The 15370-nt window shown below is 36.2% G+C and overlaps 1 protein-coding gene and 1 long non-coding RNA gene across 11 annotated transcripts in view; one reads left to right on the top strand and one right to left on the bottom strand.

Moving 5' to 3' along the window:
• The window catches only part of NECAB1 (N-terminal EF-hand calcium binding protein 1), a 167619-nt gene that overhangs the window by 80064 nt on the left and 72185 nt on the right, over nucleotides 1-15370 (top strand). For both annotated transcript variants that reach the window (NM_022351.5, XM_011517213.3), the window contains exons 4-5: nucleotides 290-315; nucleotides 9195-9292. In NM_022351.5, coding sequence (NP_071746.1) covers nucleotides 290-315; nucleotides 9195-9292 — 124 coding nt within the window. The remainder of the gene's footprint in view (nucleotides 1-289; nucleotides 316-9194; nucleotides 9293-15370) is intronic.
• Nucleotides 1-15370, bottom strand: part of LOC105375634 (uncharacterized) — a 109088-nt gene that overhangs the window by 26940 nt on the left and 66778 nt on the right. For 7 of the 9 annotated variants that reach the window (XR_928395.3, XR_928390.3, XR_928394.3 and 4 more), the window contains 2 exons: nucleotides 13476-13614; nucleotides 10616-10808 (listed from right to left, as the gene is read on the bottom strand). This is a non-coding gene — a long non-coding RNA (uncharacterized LOC105375634). Of the gene's footprint in view, nucleotides 1-10615; nucleotides 10809-13475; nucleotides 13615-15370 lie in introns of those variants that run through there. The other 2 variants (XR_928399.3, XR_928396.3) reach the window with 2 other exon arrangements.

The raw sequence follows: 15370 nt of genomic DNA on the forward strand, positions 1-15370 counted from the left end.
GCATTCTGGATCCAGAGCCTACATTCTTTACCAATATGCATTCTTTTCCCCATCATGTTGCAGAGGAAAATATAAATCTCAGGAATTATTTGTCCGAAGAATCTGACATAATCATTGTTAATTGACCTAAGACTATTTAAATAATGTAGAATTTATAAGAGAAATACCTTAACTACATACCATCAATTAATAATATAGCTTGGAGACTAACTGTATTTAACTATTTAAAAACGTAGTTAAAAATATTACCAAAGTAATAACACTGTTTTTTTTTGTTTCATCTTTTCAGTAATCTTGACACAGAAGAGCTATGTGGTAAGTGTTTCTTTAAGATCAGTCAAACCTATTACTTGCTTAAGAAGGAAAAAGAGTATTGTCTGATATATATCAACCTTGGAATTAATGTTGTATATTAGGAGTTCACAAAGGAAAAATTAATCGAGATCTCAAGGGATTTATCTTTACCCGTGAATTTTGCTCAAGTATGTATTTCACTCCAGAAAGAGTTGGGCCTCATTAGTTCGTTCATAGAAGAAGAATTGTTGTTACAATCAGTACATTAGTTTCGCAAGAGCAAATTCTCCACAAGTTTGAATATATTTTTAAATTGATGTTTAATACAACTTCATTATTCTCTGCATGATATATTGTGCAGAGCCTTTTGTTACTACCTTACAAAGCTCTCTTCTTGAAATGTAAAAATAACTTTGTCTCATACCTGCCTAAACCATTCTGGAGTTGTAAATGTCACTTGCAAAACAAGTGATTCAATGGGGACAGATACATCTTTACAAATGCCTGGTTTAATAGCCTCTTCATTTATTTTCTTCATCTTTATGGTTGGAACAATAGTTAAAGATTAGAAATATGGAAAGGTAAAATTTTAAAATTTTATTATTTTATGAAAAAATAGAACATTATGAGACTATTCCATTTGAAAGAGCTATCTTTCTCTGAATACTGGAAGGTTTAATGTTTTATGTTTTAAGATAAATGTTTAAGATAATACTTTTATTTAAGTTCGATCTTATTGTCTAGGCTGCTCAAAACATTTTTGGTAGTTAGAGTTGAGTTTTGTCTGAGAACTCCTCATTGAAACTATCAGCATTTCCTGAACATCTTCTAATTCTTACAGTTTCAGAATTTACCAAAACCATAAAAAAAGGCCATTTTCTTATATTCAAGAGTGGTTATTTTCCATTTCATCAAAGTGGTAGAGCAACACCAAAAGATGTTATACGAGAACAAAATATCAGAATACAGGGTTTCAAGGCAATAACTGAACAAAATGAGCATAATCTCCAACAACGACCTTTCAGATTTTCCAATGATTGTAAAAAAACTCATGCTTCTTATCCTAGCATAGTGTCCATCTCAGGTTCAGGGAGGAAAATCCAATTGAAATTCAAGATATGTTTATGGAGGAGCAAGGTACTCCGGTACCAAAGCAGGACATGCTTTTGTTAGTTATGAAATACCAACAGGGAAAATCATGCCATTCTTTCAGACACAGTCAGATAGTAGCATTGTGCACACATGGTTAAGTACCTGAAAGTGCCCATATGGACCATTGCCGTGAGGCTTTATGATGAATAGCAGTCACCATAAAGGCCAAGTTGTGGTCCACTCTCATCTATGTGCACACAGTCCTGGTCAGTGAAGTGAAAAGATAAAATGGAGAACACAAGATTATCTTGATAATTTCATTAAGGTAGCAGACCCATTTCCCTAAAATGTCTAGCTATGTCAGGCCAAAGTAATTATTTCCACAAATCATTCATTTATATCTATTTTTTGTTTTTCACTTAACTTTGCCTGGGTAGGCCACAGCTGATGACAAAGCAAACTGTTATAAGGGCTTTTAAGATAAAAACACTAAGTGGTTCTTCTTTATTTGCTATGTTGCCTGCCTATTGTCATTAAGGAATATTGTGTTATCCTCTGTTTTTCCTTGAAAGTACTTCAAGTTCTAAAGTATGATAGCATATCTCCACTTACTCCTCTACTGAAAAAAATATTTTAAAAATATGCCTTTTTTCTATAATGGAACTAGTTAGGTCCCTATCCTGTATTTATGGAAAAAGCTTTGGCTATGATTTTCCCCCTATAGCTTTAGTTAGGGAACTGGTATGTGGGGCTTTAATTCAACAGGAATTGTTCTGTGTTTTTTAAATCCAGTGATTGTATTCAGTCATGTGTTATAATCCTCCCCCTCTCTGTTCAAGAATATGCATTTTAATCTCCAGAGTGTCATTTCATTTCTCATTATTTTGTGAATATAAAGTAAATATTTAAGTTGGATTCTAATCAAAGCCAAATGCTTCAGTGTTAGCAAGTGAAATATGTCAATTCACACCCAGCACAAATTCCCCCTTGTGCGTGGGAGGGGCAGAACTTGATTGGCATGAAAAGTAGATTTCATATGTTCTTTCCTAGAAGCCAATTAGAAGTTGCAGGTATGTAAAACTTTAATTCTGAGGCTTTTACTTAATTTGTCAGTTACTAAGTTAAGGACCTAGAATTTAAAATATTTATTTTGAAAAAAATGTGTTTGTAATTTTAATTGTGAAAGTAATACATAACTACTATTTTTAAAATTTAACAGAATTATGTAGGCGTATAAGCTAACATGTCAATCTTCTGTGCCACTCATTGTCGTCCCCAATACTGAGCTCTACTATTTACTTGGAACATATTCTTCCAGACATTATTATGTGTATATTGACATTGATATATATGTGTACGTGTTGTTGTTTTTTCCAACAGTGAGATTATACTATATGATTAGTGCAGTTGCATCCCCTTTTCCTTCATTTTATTTAAAGGCTGCATAGTGTCTCATGAACCTTAATTTTTTTCAATCAAGTTCCTTTTAATGGATTTTCAATTTGAATCCAACCTTCCATGGGAAAAACAGGATTGAAATAAATATTCTCATATACATTATTCTCACACTCACGTTCAAGTAATTCTGAATTCTGAATGGTAGATTCCCAAACATGTAATTCCTCAATCAAGGCTTCTCTAAGGTGCACACCCACCAGCAGTTTATAGAAGTGCCAAAATTATCCACTCTTCACATACAATTGTGAAGGCCTTCCTAAATGCATTTTTTTTTTGCCGTATCTTATCACGATCAGTCAATACATAACTCAGTTTTAATTAGGCAATTGTGTTTGAACTCTGGCATTAAAGCTTTGATTTTGTATTTCTACCATAATTAGCTATAATCTAAAGCTTCAGGAGTATAATTACTACCTTTCCTGGCCCTACCCTGTTTATGACTGTTTTCATAACCTTACTCATTTTTACTGAACCGTTTTGCAGATCTTGAAGTTGGTAGTTAAGAATAGATAGTTGAGGCCGGGCGCGGTGGCTCACGCCTGTAATCCCAGCACTTTGGGAGGCCGAGGCGGGTGGATCATGAGGTCAGGAGATCGAGACCATCCTGGCTAACAAGGTGAAACCCCGTCTCTACTAAAAATACAAAAAATTAGCCGGGCGCGGTGGCGGGCGCCTGTAGTCCCAGCTACTCGGGAGGCTGAGACAGGAGAATGGTGTGAACCCGGGAAGCGGAGCTTGCAGTGAGCCGAGATTGCGCCACTGCAGTCCGCAGTCCGGCCTGGGCGACAGAGCGAGACTCCGTCTCAAAAAAAAAAAAAAAAAAAAAAAAAAAAGAATAGGTAGTTGAAATATTTACAGATGAGCGAAGAATAATTGCAATGAATGTGCTTGATCTGAAAGCCTTTCTGTAAGAAAGCTTTGTGAGGAAGGTTGAATATATTTAATAGTGTAATTTCTCATCTAGTCGGGTGTTATCTACAAAATATTAAACTATTTTAAAAGTTATATGAAGTCTATAAATAAGATGGATAAAAACTGAGGGTACGGGGGCCGGGCGCGGTGGCTCACGCCTGTAATCCCAGCACTTTGGGAGGCTGAGGCGGGTGGATCACGAGATCAGGAGATCAAGACCACGGTGAAACCCCATCTCTACTAAAAATACAAAAAAAAAAAAAAAAATTACCGGGCGTGGTGGCAGGCGCCTGTAGTCCCAGCTACTCTGGAGGCTGAGGCAGGAGAATGGCGTGAACCCGGGAGGCGGAGCTTGCAGTGAGCTGAGATCAGGCCACTGCACTCCAGCCTGGGCGACAGAGCAAGACTCTGTCTCAAAAAATAATAATAATAAATAAAGTAAAGTAAAATAAAATAACTGAGCGTACGGGAAACTCCAGAATAAAAGCTTATTCCCTTCATACCCAAGGTTCCTTTCGGTAGCTGTGCACTAAGCACCCAGGCTGCAGAGATTGGCAGAGCCTGGACAGTGCTCAGAGACCTGTGCCAGCAAGTCTGAGTGCTAGGAAATCAGAAGGCTCTATGCCCTCCTCCAGACTGCTGTGTCCTCCTCCAGTGGCACATGTCACTGATGATTGAGATGTAAGAGAGTTTGCGTGTCGCTTATCTGCATCCCCTCAAAATAGCCCACATTTCTAGATCTGACTGACCTCCCTATTCAGAACATGCGGGTTTTAACACTCTCTCTCATCTCAATTACTTTCTTTTCTACCTAGTCTACTACTTGAGAAAGTCTAACTGCTTGAGAAGTTTAGATGAGAGTCATCTAAACTCATGAGAATACTTTGTAAGACCAGTTTCCACTGAGACTTTTGTGGCAGCTGTGGGTCCTTTGCTTCTGACAGAATTATTAAGCTGACCTGAAAACTCAACAACTTGAAAGACTAAGGTGCAGGATAGAAAAACAGAACAAAACTGTAGTTTGGTAATGCAACACCACTGATTAAGTACAGAAAGGCAGGTAGAAACTAATTTTTTGTTAGCATTTTAGTAGAGAAGATGGCACACTGGATATCCATGAGAATATAGCCTGCTTCCTGACAGATAACAGGCTTACTACATCTGCTTATAAACTGTGCTCTACTTTTTCATCATACCTAATATTCAGACTCTACTTTTCAATGATACTTCATTTAAACTGATGAGAATTGGTTTTCACACATTTCCATAAGTGCAATATGACTCTGTTTTGCTCAAGTTCATGAAACCCACATACAGGTTTCAACAAAATAGGTCTTTTCTTCAGGAAGTTCTTCTAGTTACCAAAGGAAAGCATTTTAAGGAATCAATATTTGTTCCAAGTCATTCTTTCTAATGCCATGACTTAAGGACAATATACATTTGCCCTACTCACACTGGTATTGTGATTCAAATGAGAAACATCAGTCACAAACATGAGAAACTTGGAATAAAACTTTAGTCCAAGCTCAGCCACTTCCAAATATGTCACTGTCCTTCCCTCCTGCCTACCACATCTTGGAGTTTGCAGATCTGCTGAAATTCTGGACTCCACCGCTCATTCCACTTCAAAGCTTTGGCATGGCTCATAGTCCTAGTTGTGTGATGAAATCCCTCCTGGCAGTTGATACCTCCCTTCTCTCTTGATGGTGTCACCAACATTCCCAAATCATCCTTAGTGCATCCCTTCCTTTTCTGATAGGAGAATTTGAGGATGTCACTCTCCTTTCCATGGCTTCCCATTGCCCATAGTGGTCTCGAATTTACTCTGCATCATAATCTCCTAGGGAACCTCGCCCTCAACCCAAAGATTGTGATTTACTAGATGAGACCTTCTCAGTTATCTTCATGTCTAACAAGTACCCTAGAGTAGTGTTTCTCAAACTTAAATAAGCCTACAAATCACCTGGGGGTCTTATTAAAATGCAGAATGTGATTCAACAGGACTGGAAGTGGGCCTGAGACACTGAGTTCTAACAAGCTCCTAGGTGAAACTAATGCTGCTGGTCCACAAAACAAACTTTGGACAGTGAAGTACTAGAGGATTCTGATGCAGGTGGTCAAAAACACTTACCTAGACTTGAGGATCAAAGAGCATCTGGCAAGGACTGTTTCCAACACATACAGCTTTATCTCCCAACACTGACTTTTAGGATTTGTTTCCTTGCTGCCTCCCATTCTCAAATATGTTCCAGCCCTGTTCTTTATGTCTTGGCAGTGCTGAACTACACATACTCCTGCAAACATGACAGGAAAACAGCTGCTTCCATGCCCTTCCTCTGAGTATCCAGCAGGTTAAGTCCTATTCATCTGTTAACTGAGCCATTGCTGGTGTTTCTCCTATGAAGCCCTCTCTGACTCACCCAGGCAGACTTGGGCATTCTTTTTCTTTTTTTTTTTTCAAAGACAGGATCTCGTTCTGTCACCCAGGCTGGAGTGCAGTGGCACAATTTCGGCTCACTGCAACCTTGGTATCCCTGGTTCAAGCAATTCTCCTGCCTTATCCTCTATTTGGATTGCACCTTGTATCTGGGCCCTTCAACCATTGTCTTTAACAATGATTATGTGTATTGCAGTTGTTACTTGGAATGTTTCTCTCTCCTCTCTGACTTTAGGGCTTCTGTCTTTTCACCTTTGTATTCCAAGCTCCTATGATAGCACCTGGCACATAAAAGGCCCTAAGTAAAGGTTTGTTAGGCCACAGAATGAGTAAGTGAACACTCGCTATGATGAAGTGGAGGGGAGTTATCTCTCTTTATCTATGTTGGATGTGTCTGGCTCTTTCATCTAACTTCCCTCTTTGAGTTTATTGGAGCCCCCTTGCCTTGACTGCCTGACCCATATCCCTCAGTGAGTAAGTTATAAAAGAGCCTTAGTGACACTGAGCTGCACCACCTCAAAATAATCCTTACACTTAGATTTCCAACTTAAGCTCCTATCCATGACTTAAGTATTGTAATTCTCTTCCTTCTCAGTCATTTTCTTTACTATCTAGTGATTGTTCTTTTTTTCTAACTTGGAGAGTTGAGATGAATAAATGGATGAATGAAGGACAGAAAGAATGAAGTCTAGATAGGTGTCAGCTCTGAAGCTTCTAGTCATTGTTTTTCTTATATGCTTTATCAGCATATGCCTGCATCTGTGTGCATAGGTCCAATTTTAAAGTGGAAAGACAACTTAAATTCTCTCCAGGAACCTTTACTAATTAAGCCAAATGTCCATGAATGAAATATTTATTTTAAAAAGAGGCTTTACCTCTCTCTCTCTATATATATATATAGTAAGTATTTTCTTATTTATCTTCTAACTAATCACTGTCTCTCTCTCTCTCTACATATATTATATATAGATATCTATATTATATATAATATATATTATATTTATTATTTATTATTTATATAATATATATCTTATATATAATATATATTATATATATTATATATATAATATAGGTATCTATATATAGATATCTATATATAATATATATATATCGAGAGAGAGAGTGTTGCTTTTTTAGCAACAATTTTTTTGTTTTCACTTTCTTTTTTTTTTTTTTTAGACAATGTCTCATCTGTAGCCCAGGCTGGAGTGCAGTGGCACTATCACGGCTCACTGCAGCCTCGACTTCCCAGGCTCAAGCAATCCTCCCACCTCAGCCTCCCAAGTAGCTGGGATCAGAGGCACATACCACCATGCTGTGTGGCCCAGGCTGGTCACGAATTCCTGGGCTCAAGTGATCCTTCTGCCTTAGCTTCCCAAAATACTGAGATTATACGCACGAGCCTCCATGCCCAACCTGTTTTCACTTTATATTTTTGTCTATTTGCATTTAAAACCCCTGTCACAATCCTCTTTGAGGCATTATATATACAAGTTTTAAAATAAAAATGAAGTAACAGCTTCACTTTTTGGCATTTTTCTTATGCTTTTTGCTTGTTTCAACATAGTATAGACTCAGTTCTGATATTCATTATTTTTCCAACTTACGAATATTCTACGGCCACATTAACTGCTCGCTGGTTGATGAAGAGTGTTCATTTGTTATAAATAATTGCACAAATAAAGTTAGACATATTTGTCAACCTTATCAAAAAGTCAACATTATAACCACAAATTAAAATGTTATTTTGAAGCAGGTATTTAAGGAGTAAATATTTTATTTATCTTCCAACTAATCACTTTCTAAAGAATCTTTATAAGAGATAGTTTACACCACATTGTTTTTAAGGAATGCATTTTACTTTTTGTCAAAAATATGTTATTTGTTTTTAACCTAAGTGTATACAGACTGTATTTTGACAACCATGATCTGGAATTGATTTAGTGTCCACCTGTGTTTATTTTCTTCTCAAAAGAAGTCTGTACACTAACTAATATATCAGTCAATGGCAATTTCCAGTTGTTATTAATATCAATATAAACAAATATTTCCTAGAGTATTAAATAAATTAATCAAGGCGGTTTCCATCAAACATGCTGAAATGTATTCCCATAATCTCGAGTGGCTTATATGTGATAATATTTATCATTTTAATTTAGTTCCACAAATACTGTGGCACATTAAAGAGAGATGGCAATAAACTACAGTTCATCCAAGGAAGGGTTCACAGGAATGGTGAGGACTATTCATGTTTTAGTGTCTGAAAACCCTAGATCTTCTCAATATATAAATTTATGTTAAGCTAGTTTGCTTTCATTATAGAAATGCATAGATTTCTATAAGTAAATATAAGATTTTGCATTTATAAATATTTCAACTTACTAGTTTAGGATCAGTTCATGTTCCATACTTTTAATTTTAATCACAAATCCACTATATTATTTATTCCTAGCAACTGAAAAGAGTGATAGACTTTACTTTTTCTCTGCCCAAATTGTTGGAAAAAAAAAAAAAAGATTGTGACAGGGACAGTTACATAGAAGGTGCCACAGAAGACCCTCTCATGTTTTGCATCACTGACTCTTAACCTTGAGAAGAGCTTAACTTCCTTAAATGTTTCCTCCAAGAAACAATAAAATGTAACTTAACTTTTTTCTAAAATTACTATCCCAGTGAGATCTATAATACTACATTGTCAAAAATAATTTTTTATTGAAACATCCTTGTCAGTAGATTCAGATTTATTTTTTCCTACTTTTGTAGGAAGGAACATTTCTTCAAGGATAATGGTAATCATTCAGATTTCCTTTTCTTTTTTCTTGATGTCTTAGTGAAATGAGCAGATTGTCACCTTATTTAGTCTTATTTGGAAACCTTCCAGTTTTCACTTATAGCTGACATTTTGTTTTACTCATTTAAGGAGTAAATAATTAGTTGATTTTTTTGTTTTATGGTTACCTAAACTCAAATATGAATTTATTTCAATATTTTCATTTTTCAGAATATTTTTCTCAGCACTTGGGCGAGTATGAGAATGTACTAGCAGCACTTGAAGACCTGAATCTTTCCATCCTGAAGGCAATGGGCAAAACAAAGAAAGTAAGAAAATGTTAATGTTTATTTTCTATAAAAATCTCTTCTTTGAAAAAGATTTTTCTTGAAAATCATACCTATTTTCAACTATAGATTCTTTATTATCACTGATAGTTTATTTTTCTTCATACTAAATGAGCTATGTTATTCATTTGTAACATAATTATAAACACTATATGCTAAAGACTGTGCTTTGTGTTGAGGATACAAAGATACAAAGAGCTGTTAGAATAGCTCTCAGCCTGGTGGTGATACAAGTGTGTTAACTAAGTAGTATGTTTTGGATCTTGTCCCTCCCCAAATCCCATGTCGAATTGTAATCCCCAGTGCTGGAGGTGGGGCCTGGTGGGAGATGATTGGATCATGGATCACCAATCCCCCAGTGCTGTTCTCCTGATGTTGAATGAGTGAGTTATCATGCAATCTGGTTGTTTAAAAGTGTATGGCGCTTCCTCCGCCCCTCTCCTTCCTCCTCTGGCCATGTGACATGCCTTGCTTCTCCTTTGCCTTCCACCATGATTGAAAGCTCCCTGAGGCCTCCCTAGAAACAGAAGCCACTATGCTTCCTGTACAGCCTGCAGAACTGTGAGCCAATTAAACCTCCTTTCTTTATAAATTACCCAGCCTCAGGTATTTCTTTATAGCAATGAGGGAACTGACTAATGTGCTAAGCATTACAGTATAGCCCAATGAGAAGCACAAGATAAGACATCTAATTCATGCTGGAGATGAGATGACACCTGAACACTGAGAGATAAAGGAAGTTGGTAGAGCTGGACAAAGGAGACAAACACAGGGAACAGCACGTGCAGAGGCTCTGAGTCAAGAGGGTCACAGGACACTCTAGGAAATGAAGCTGGACAGTAAGGATAAAGTACCAAAGAGTGGCATGATGTAAGATGAAACTGGAGTGCTAGGGAGGGCCCACATCTTTCATGATGTCAGCAAAGCTAAGGATTTAGGCCTGTATCCTAAGTGCAAATAAATCAGCAAATAATTTAAGCAGAAATAAAAACAAAAAACCTCATGCAGTCTTTCAAAAAGACCATACAAGAATTAACTTGGGATTGGGGTGGATAATATAGAGGAATAGGATCAGAAAGATGAGTGAGTAGGCTAGTTCATTAGTCTGGGTAAGAAATGTTGATATTTGGAAAACAATAAAGACTCAACTGAATTTTGAAAAATAAAGTTCAGAAAGTCCCCTAAAACTTCAAGGAAAACAGAAAATATAAGAAAATTGGAGCACCAGCCTAGTGTATCCTATATCCAAATAACAAATTCCAAAAAGAGAGAGAGAGAAAAAAAAAAAGGAAAACAGGTAAAAGGTGGAATCAGAATACATTTTCTTTAGACCTCTTCAGGAATATTTGGAAACTGTATAATAACTTCATCCCTTGGAAACTTCTCTCCAGAAATGGCCATTAAAAAATTATCTGCTTTGTGTGTCTAGCTTCTTGTTGCTCTTCAAGTCTCATCTTAAATACCATGGCCTCAGAAAGGTCTTCTCTGACCACTCTATCTAAAAAAAAAGAAAAGGTCATCTCAATTAGAGTAGATCACCTGTTCCTTGCTGGCAATTTATCATAATCAGTGAGTAACTGTGCAATGTTTTCGTTGTTGTTTATTTGTTGTCTGTAAAGAGAGAGAAGGGCAGTGTCTGGTTTTTTGTTTTTTTAGGTTTTTTTGTTTTGTTTTTGGCTTACCGTGTTTACTCTGAACCTAGCATAGGACCTGACAATTAAAATCATACTCAAAAATTTATTGATGGATTAAATTAATTGATTGGTTAAATGAACACACATATAGCTCCAAAAGCTAAATACTTTTGCTCCTGAAAGAAAAATTGCTCCTAAGTTAATTTAAGAAGCTTCCAGATTGCCTCTAATAGGAAGAAAAAAACAAGTTATATAATCTTCTTTATTTCCTCAGAAATATGCACTAAAATCATGCTGTTTTCCTTGTATTAAGACAATGAGATTTTGTGGGATTTAAATTGAGGTCAACCTGTTGTTTTGGTTTCTTAAGTTACAAAATCTTTTTCTTGGCACTGACCCTTAAAAATGCATGTGATTCATATTATACTGTTTAACCAAGAAAAACATATGTCTCTGATTTAAATTAAAAAGGAAAAAGAAAAAAAAGAAATAGTCAAAATTAAAATTAGAAAAAGCCCCTTTGTGTAATAGCTCAAAGATGAGTAAAATGCAAGAGTTTTGACGTTTCTCAAGCCACTGTTGAATAGACATCTTCACGCTGTCTAGCACATGGACCCTTCAGAATGAGAAATCTAGCATTTTTCTCTATATTTCTACCCAGATAAAAAGTCCTGTCTCAGTAGGAAGATCTGATTGTTCTAGGGTTTTATGAAAAATGAAATACAAGCCTTTTGTGATCTATCTTGACTGGCAGTACCTCTGTTTGCAGTGTCAGAGAATGGATAAAATGGGATTTAGCTGCCTACCTTAAACTCCAGGAAGTGACTGAGGACAGATACAATCCGTCATTATTTTCCCTCCTCCTCCTTCTCCCTTAACCCCAGCCTTTTGTCATATCCTCAAGGGCTACATGGATTATTTTACTTTGCTTGTTATTCTGGAACAAAACACCATAGGTCAAATTCCAAATGGCCATTTGAAAGTCCCAGAGGTAACTGAAACCAGAACCCTCTGTCTGAATTTGGAATGTCTCACATACACACAAAAAAATAGCTTTGTCAATTAGTTTTTCTTCTTTCTACAGGGTAGAGGTGATAAGCTAACTTGCAGCATTAGTATGTGAAGTGCTTGTAATCTCAAAAGCAAATGTAGAATTCTGATGCTACGGCTGAATTCATCACGTGCTATGTTATATAAACACAAATGGGATTCCCTGTTTATTAGTAGGGCTTAAAAGGAGATTATCATAAGCTAAAGTGAAGAATGGCATTCTTAAAATAATTATTTGGGGTTTGTTAGTTACTTTAATGAGTGCAGCCGTGAAATTTTCCAAAATTAAAATGTATATATATTTTTTCTTCTGACAGTTATTTTTCAAACAAACACAGCCTACAATACATTTTCAATAATTCTAAGAAAGAAATAGACTTGAATCCTAGCACTGCCGGGCCTCTGCCTCTCTCTTACTCTCCTACATCTGTCTTCAGGATCTGTGTTGATTTTAGCATCTACAGATCCCTTTATCTCAATCTTTTCATCTCTCCTCTATCTCTAGTTTTTTTATGTTGAGCATCTGGGCCTCCCAGGGCTCCATAGTCCTTTCACTAAAGATCACAATCATTTTATTTGAGTCTTACTATGAAAAAGATGAAATAGCAATAGGACACAGAATTTCTATTTGGGACAAACATCATTACTATAATTTTATGTAGGACTTATTATTAAAATTTTCCCTTGTTTTAGGCAAAATATCCAAGCTGAAATGATACCATATGTGGCATAGTAAAATACCCTTGTAGGCTTACAGAAGGCAAGCATTTTAATTATTCATGATAGTTTCATTGCAATCCTTTACGTATTCAATCCTTAAGTATTTAAAAATAAAATGAAAAAATTATCCTTGGACTTCAGAGCAACCACAAAAAATACTTTTTAAACCGTTTATTTGACATCTTCTTTTTTCCTTGAAATTATCTGTCAAAATGAGTTTGCTTAGGGGAGAGGAAGTAGAGACTAGGAGGATGGAAAATAGGAGAGAAGTGTCTTGAGGTTGCAAGTTTGGTTCAATAGGACAGAAGCCCTGAGTCAGGCCCAAGCCTTGGAATCCTCCATGCAACCCTGGCCAGACTTCTGCCCAACACCTGGCAAAGGGGAACTCAATGCCTCTGGAAAGGTTGCTCAATGAAGTAAGGAGGAACATATTCTCTCATATCAGACCCTAGTTATCCTGAAGGACTCTGCAGTACCTACTTCCTGGACAGAGAAACCTCCACCTCTAACTGGGTAAGGAGGAGATAGAACTGAGATGAGAGCCCTAACCCTTCTAATTCATGTGAGCATGACTTTGGGTATAATTTAAAGGTGATAAAATACCACTTTGAGGTTATTGATAGAGTTCACACAGTGGCGTAGATGAGTAGTTCAGGCAAAGATCATCAACAAGGTGGTGGCTAAGGTGGATATGCTAGGAGGATGGAGGACAGAGTACATAGTAATGTCTGGGCAGGCTCAAGACTTGCACTGGCACCTACCTGGCAATCATGTCACTGGTTCTTTCTAGCCATTGCTGCAGCCCCACCAGACTCTTGGTGACTGATCTGACTTCTCCAAGCCAAGTTGCCAGATGATGCCTAATGACTCTTCTTTCCTGCCAGACTAGGGCTTCCGTGGCTATGACCAAAAAGAGAATGAGGAATAGCTGTCAATGCCAACTAGCATTCATATAGCACCTTGGAGTTTTCAACATGTTTTCATATACAGTATTTCAGTTACTCTTCATCACATCTTAGTAAGGAATGTTAGTCAAAAGGTAATATACACATTTCAAAAATGAGGAAACTGAGTCACAATGTGGCTAGTTGATTTATCAATATCCTAAAGATAATGAGATTTAAACCAAGTGATTCTCGTTTAATTTTTTTTTATTTAAGGTTTATGTGGTTCCATATGCACATACTATAAATATGCAGCTGTAGGTTCTATCATGACACAAAACATTTCTGGTATTAGGTACCTTTGGTCTTTGAAACAATCAAAGTCTTTAGAGTTCAGCTGTGGCTCAGCAAAGGCATAAAGATTTTTAGCTTCTCTGTTAAAAATATTTTCAGTTTTGTTTTTGACAAATGAATAAGTAGGTGTCCAGAGCTCAGTGTAATATGTGAAGAAAATATGAAAGAAATTATAGACAGAAGCAGATGATAATTAAATGCTGAAATCATAATTAAATCCTGAAATCAAAAGATGAAGGTGCATAAGCAAAGTTCTAGGCAAGGAAGTTCATATTTTTTATCATAGTTTGTTGTCATTAGAGAAATGAAATTTAATTAGAAAATAAGAGAAGTTACATACCCATGTCAAACAATGGATATTTAGCTTTTTACTTACTAGAATGAAATATATCCAAAGGAAAGGCTACTGTAGCTGAGAGAAGTAAGCAAAAATATTGGTCTTCTGGGCTCTGGATGAATTTATAAAGGATCCGAAAGCATTCCAATAGGAGTCCTACTGATTTTTTTTTTTCAAATAGGTAACTATACTATTTCTTGATTGACACTTAAAATGCCAGGTTTACTATCTGCTAAATACTTATAATGTACTCAGTTTTGTGTCAGAGCTCACTATTCTGTTCCCGTGGTAAACTGTCTTTTCTAGTATTAAGTATTATTAACACGTTATCTTAATTCTTGTATACTTAGATATATTTGAAAATGTAAAAGTGCAGGTCTTCTCTGTTCTCTCTCTCTCTTTTGTTTTTGTTTTTTGTATGTTTGTTTTGTTTTTTTGGTGGAGATAGGGTTTCACTGTGTTGCCCAGGCTGGTTTCAAACTCCTGAGCTCAGGTGATCCATCCACTTTAGCCTTCCAAAGTGCTGGGATTACAGGCGAGAGCCACAGCACCTGTCTTGATTGTTCTTCTTTAGCAGAGATTTTTGCCCTTAGTTTGCCGTGTTTGCATAAGTTTTATAATTGTTTTTTTCAATTCTGGGAAAAACTTTTATTGGAATTTTCATTAAATTTATAAAGTAATTTTGAGAGAATTGTCATCTTGGTAATATTTTTCCTTCCCATGCAGGCACAAATATATTTTTTCATTTATTCAAGCTTATTTTTATGTCTCATTAAATATTTTTATGATACCTCATATAGGTTCAAAACATTTCTTGTTAAATCAGGTCATATATATTTTATATTTTTGTTGTTTTATAAATGGCCACCCTCTCTAACTTCCTAACATAATGTTGGTGGTATATTGGAAAATGATTAATTTTTGTATACACATTTGGTAACTAGATTAGCTACCATCTTGAGTAGCTGTTCTGTCCGTGACATGCCATTTATCATCCTTTACTGATATTACAGCTTGAACATCGAGAACCTCTGCACTGTAAGAAACAACCCACCTAATCTCTCTTTTAGGGAAGTTGACC

This window comes from Homo sapiens, chromosome 8 (assembly GCF_000001405.40).
Source record: "Homo sapiens chromosome 8, GRCh38.p14 Primary Assembly".
In the NCBI taxonomy this organism is placed as follows: Eukaryota; Metazoa; Chordata; class Mammalia; order Primates; family Hominidae; genus Homo; species Homo sapiens.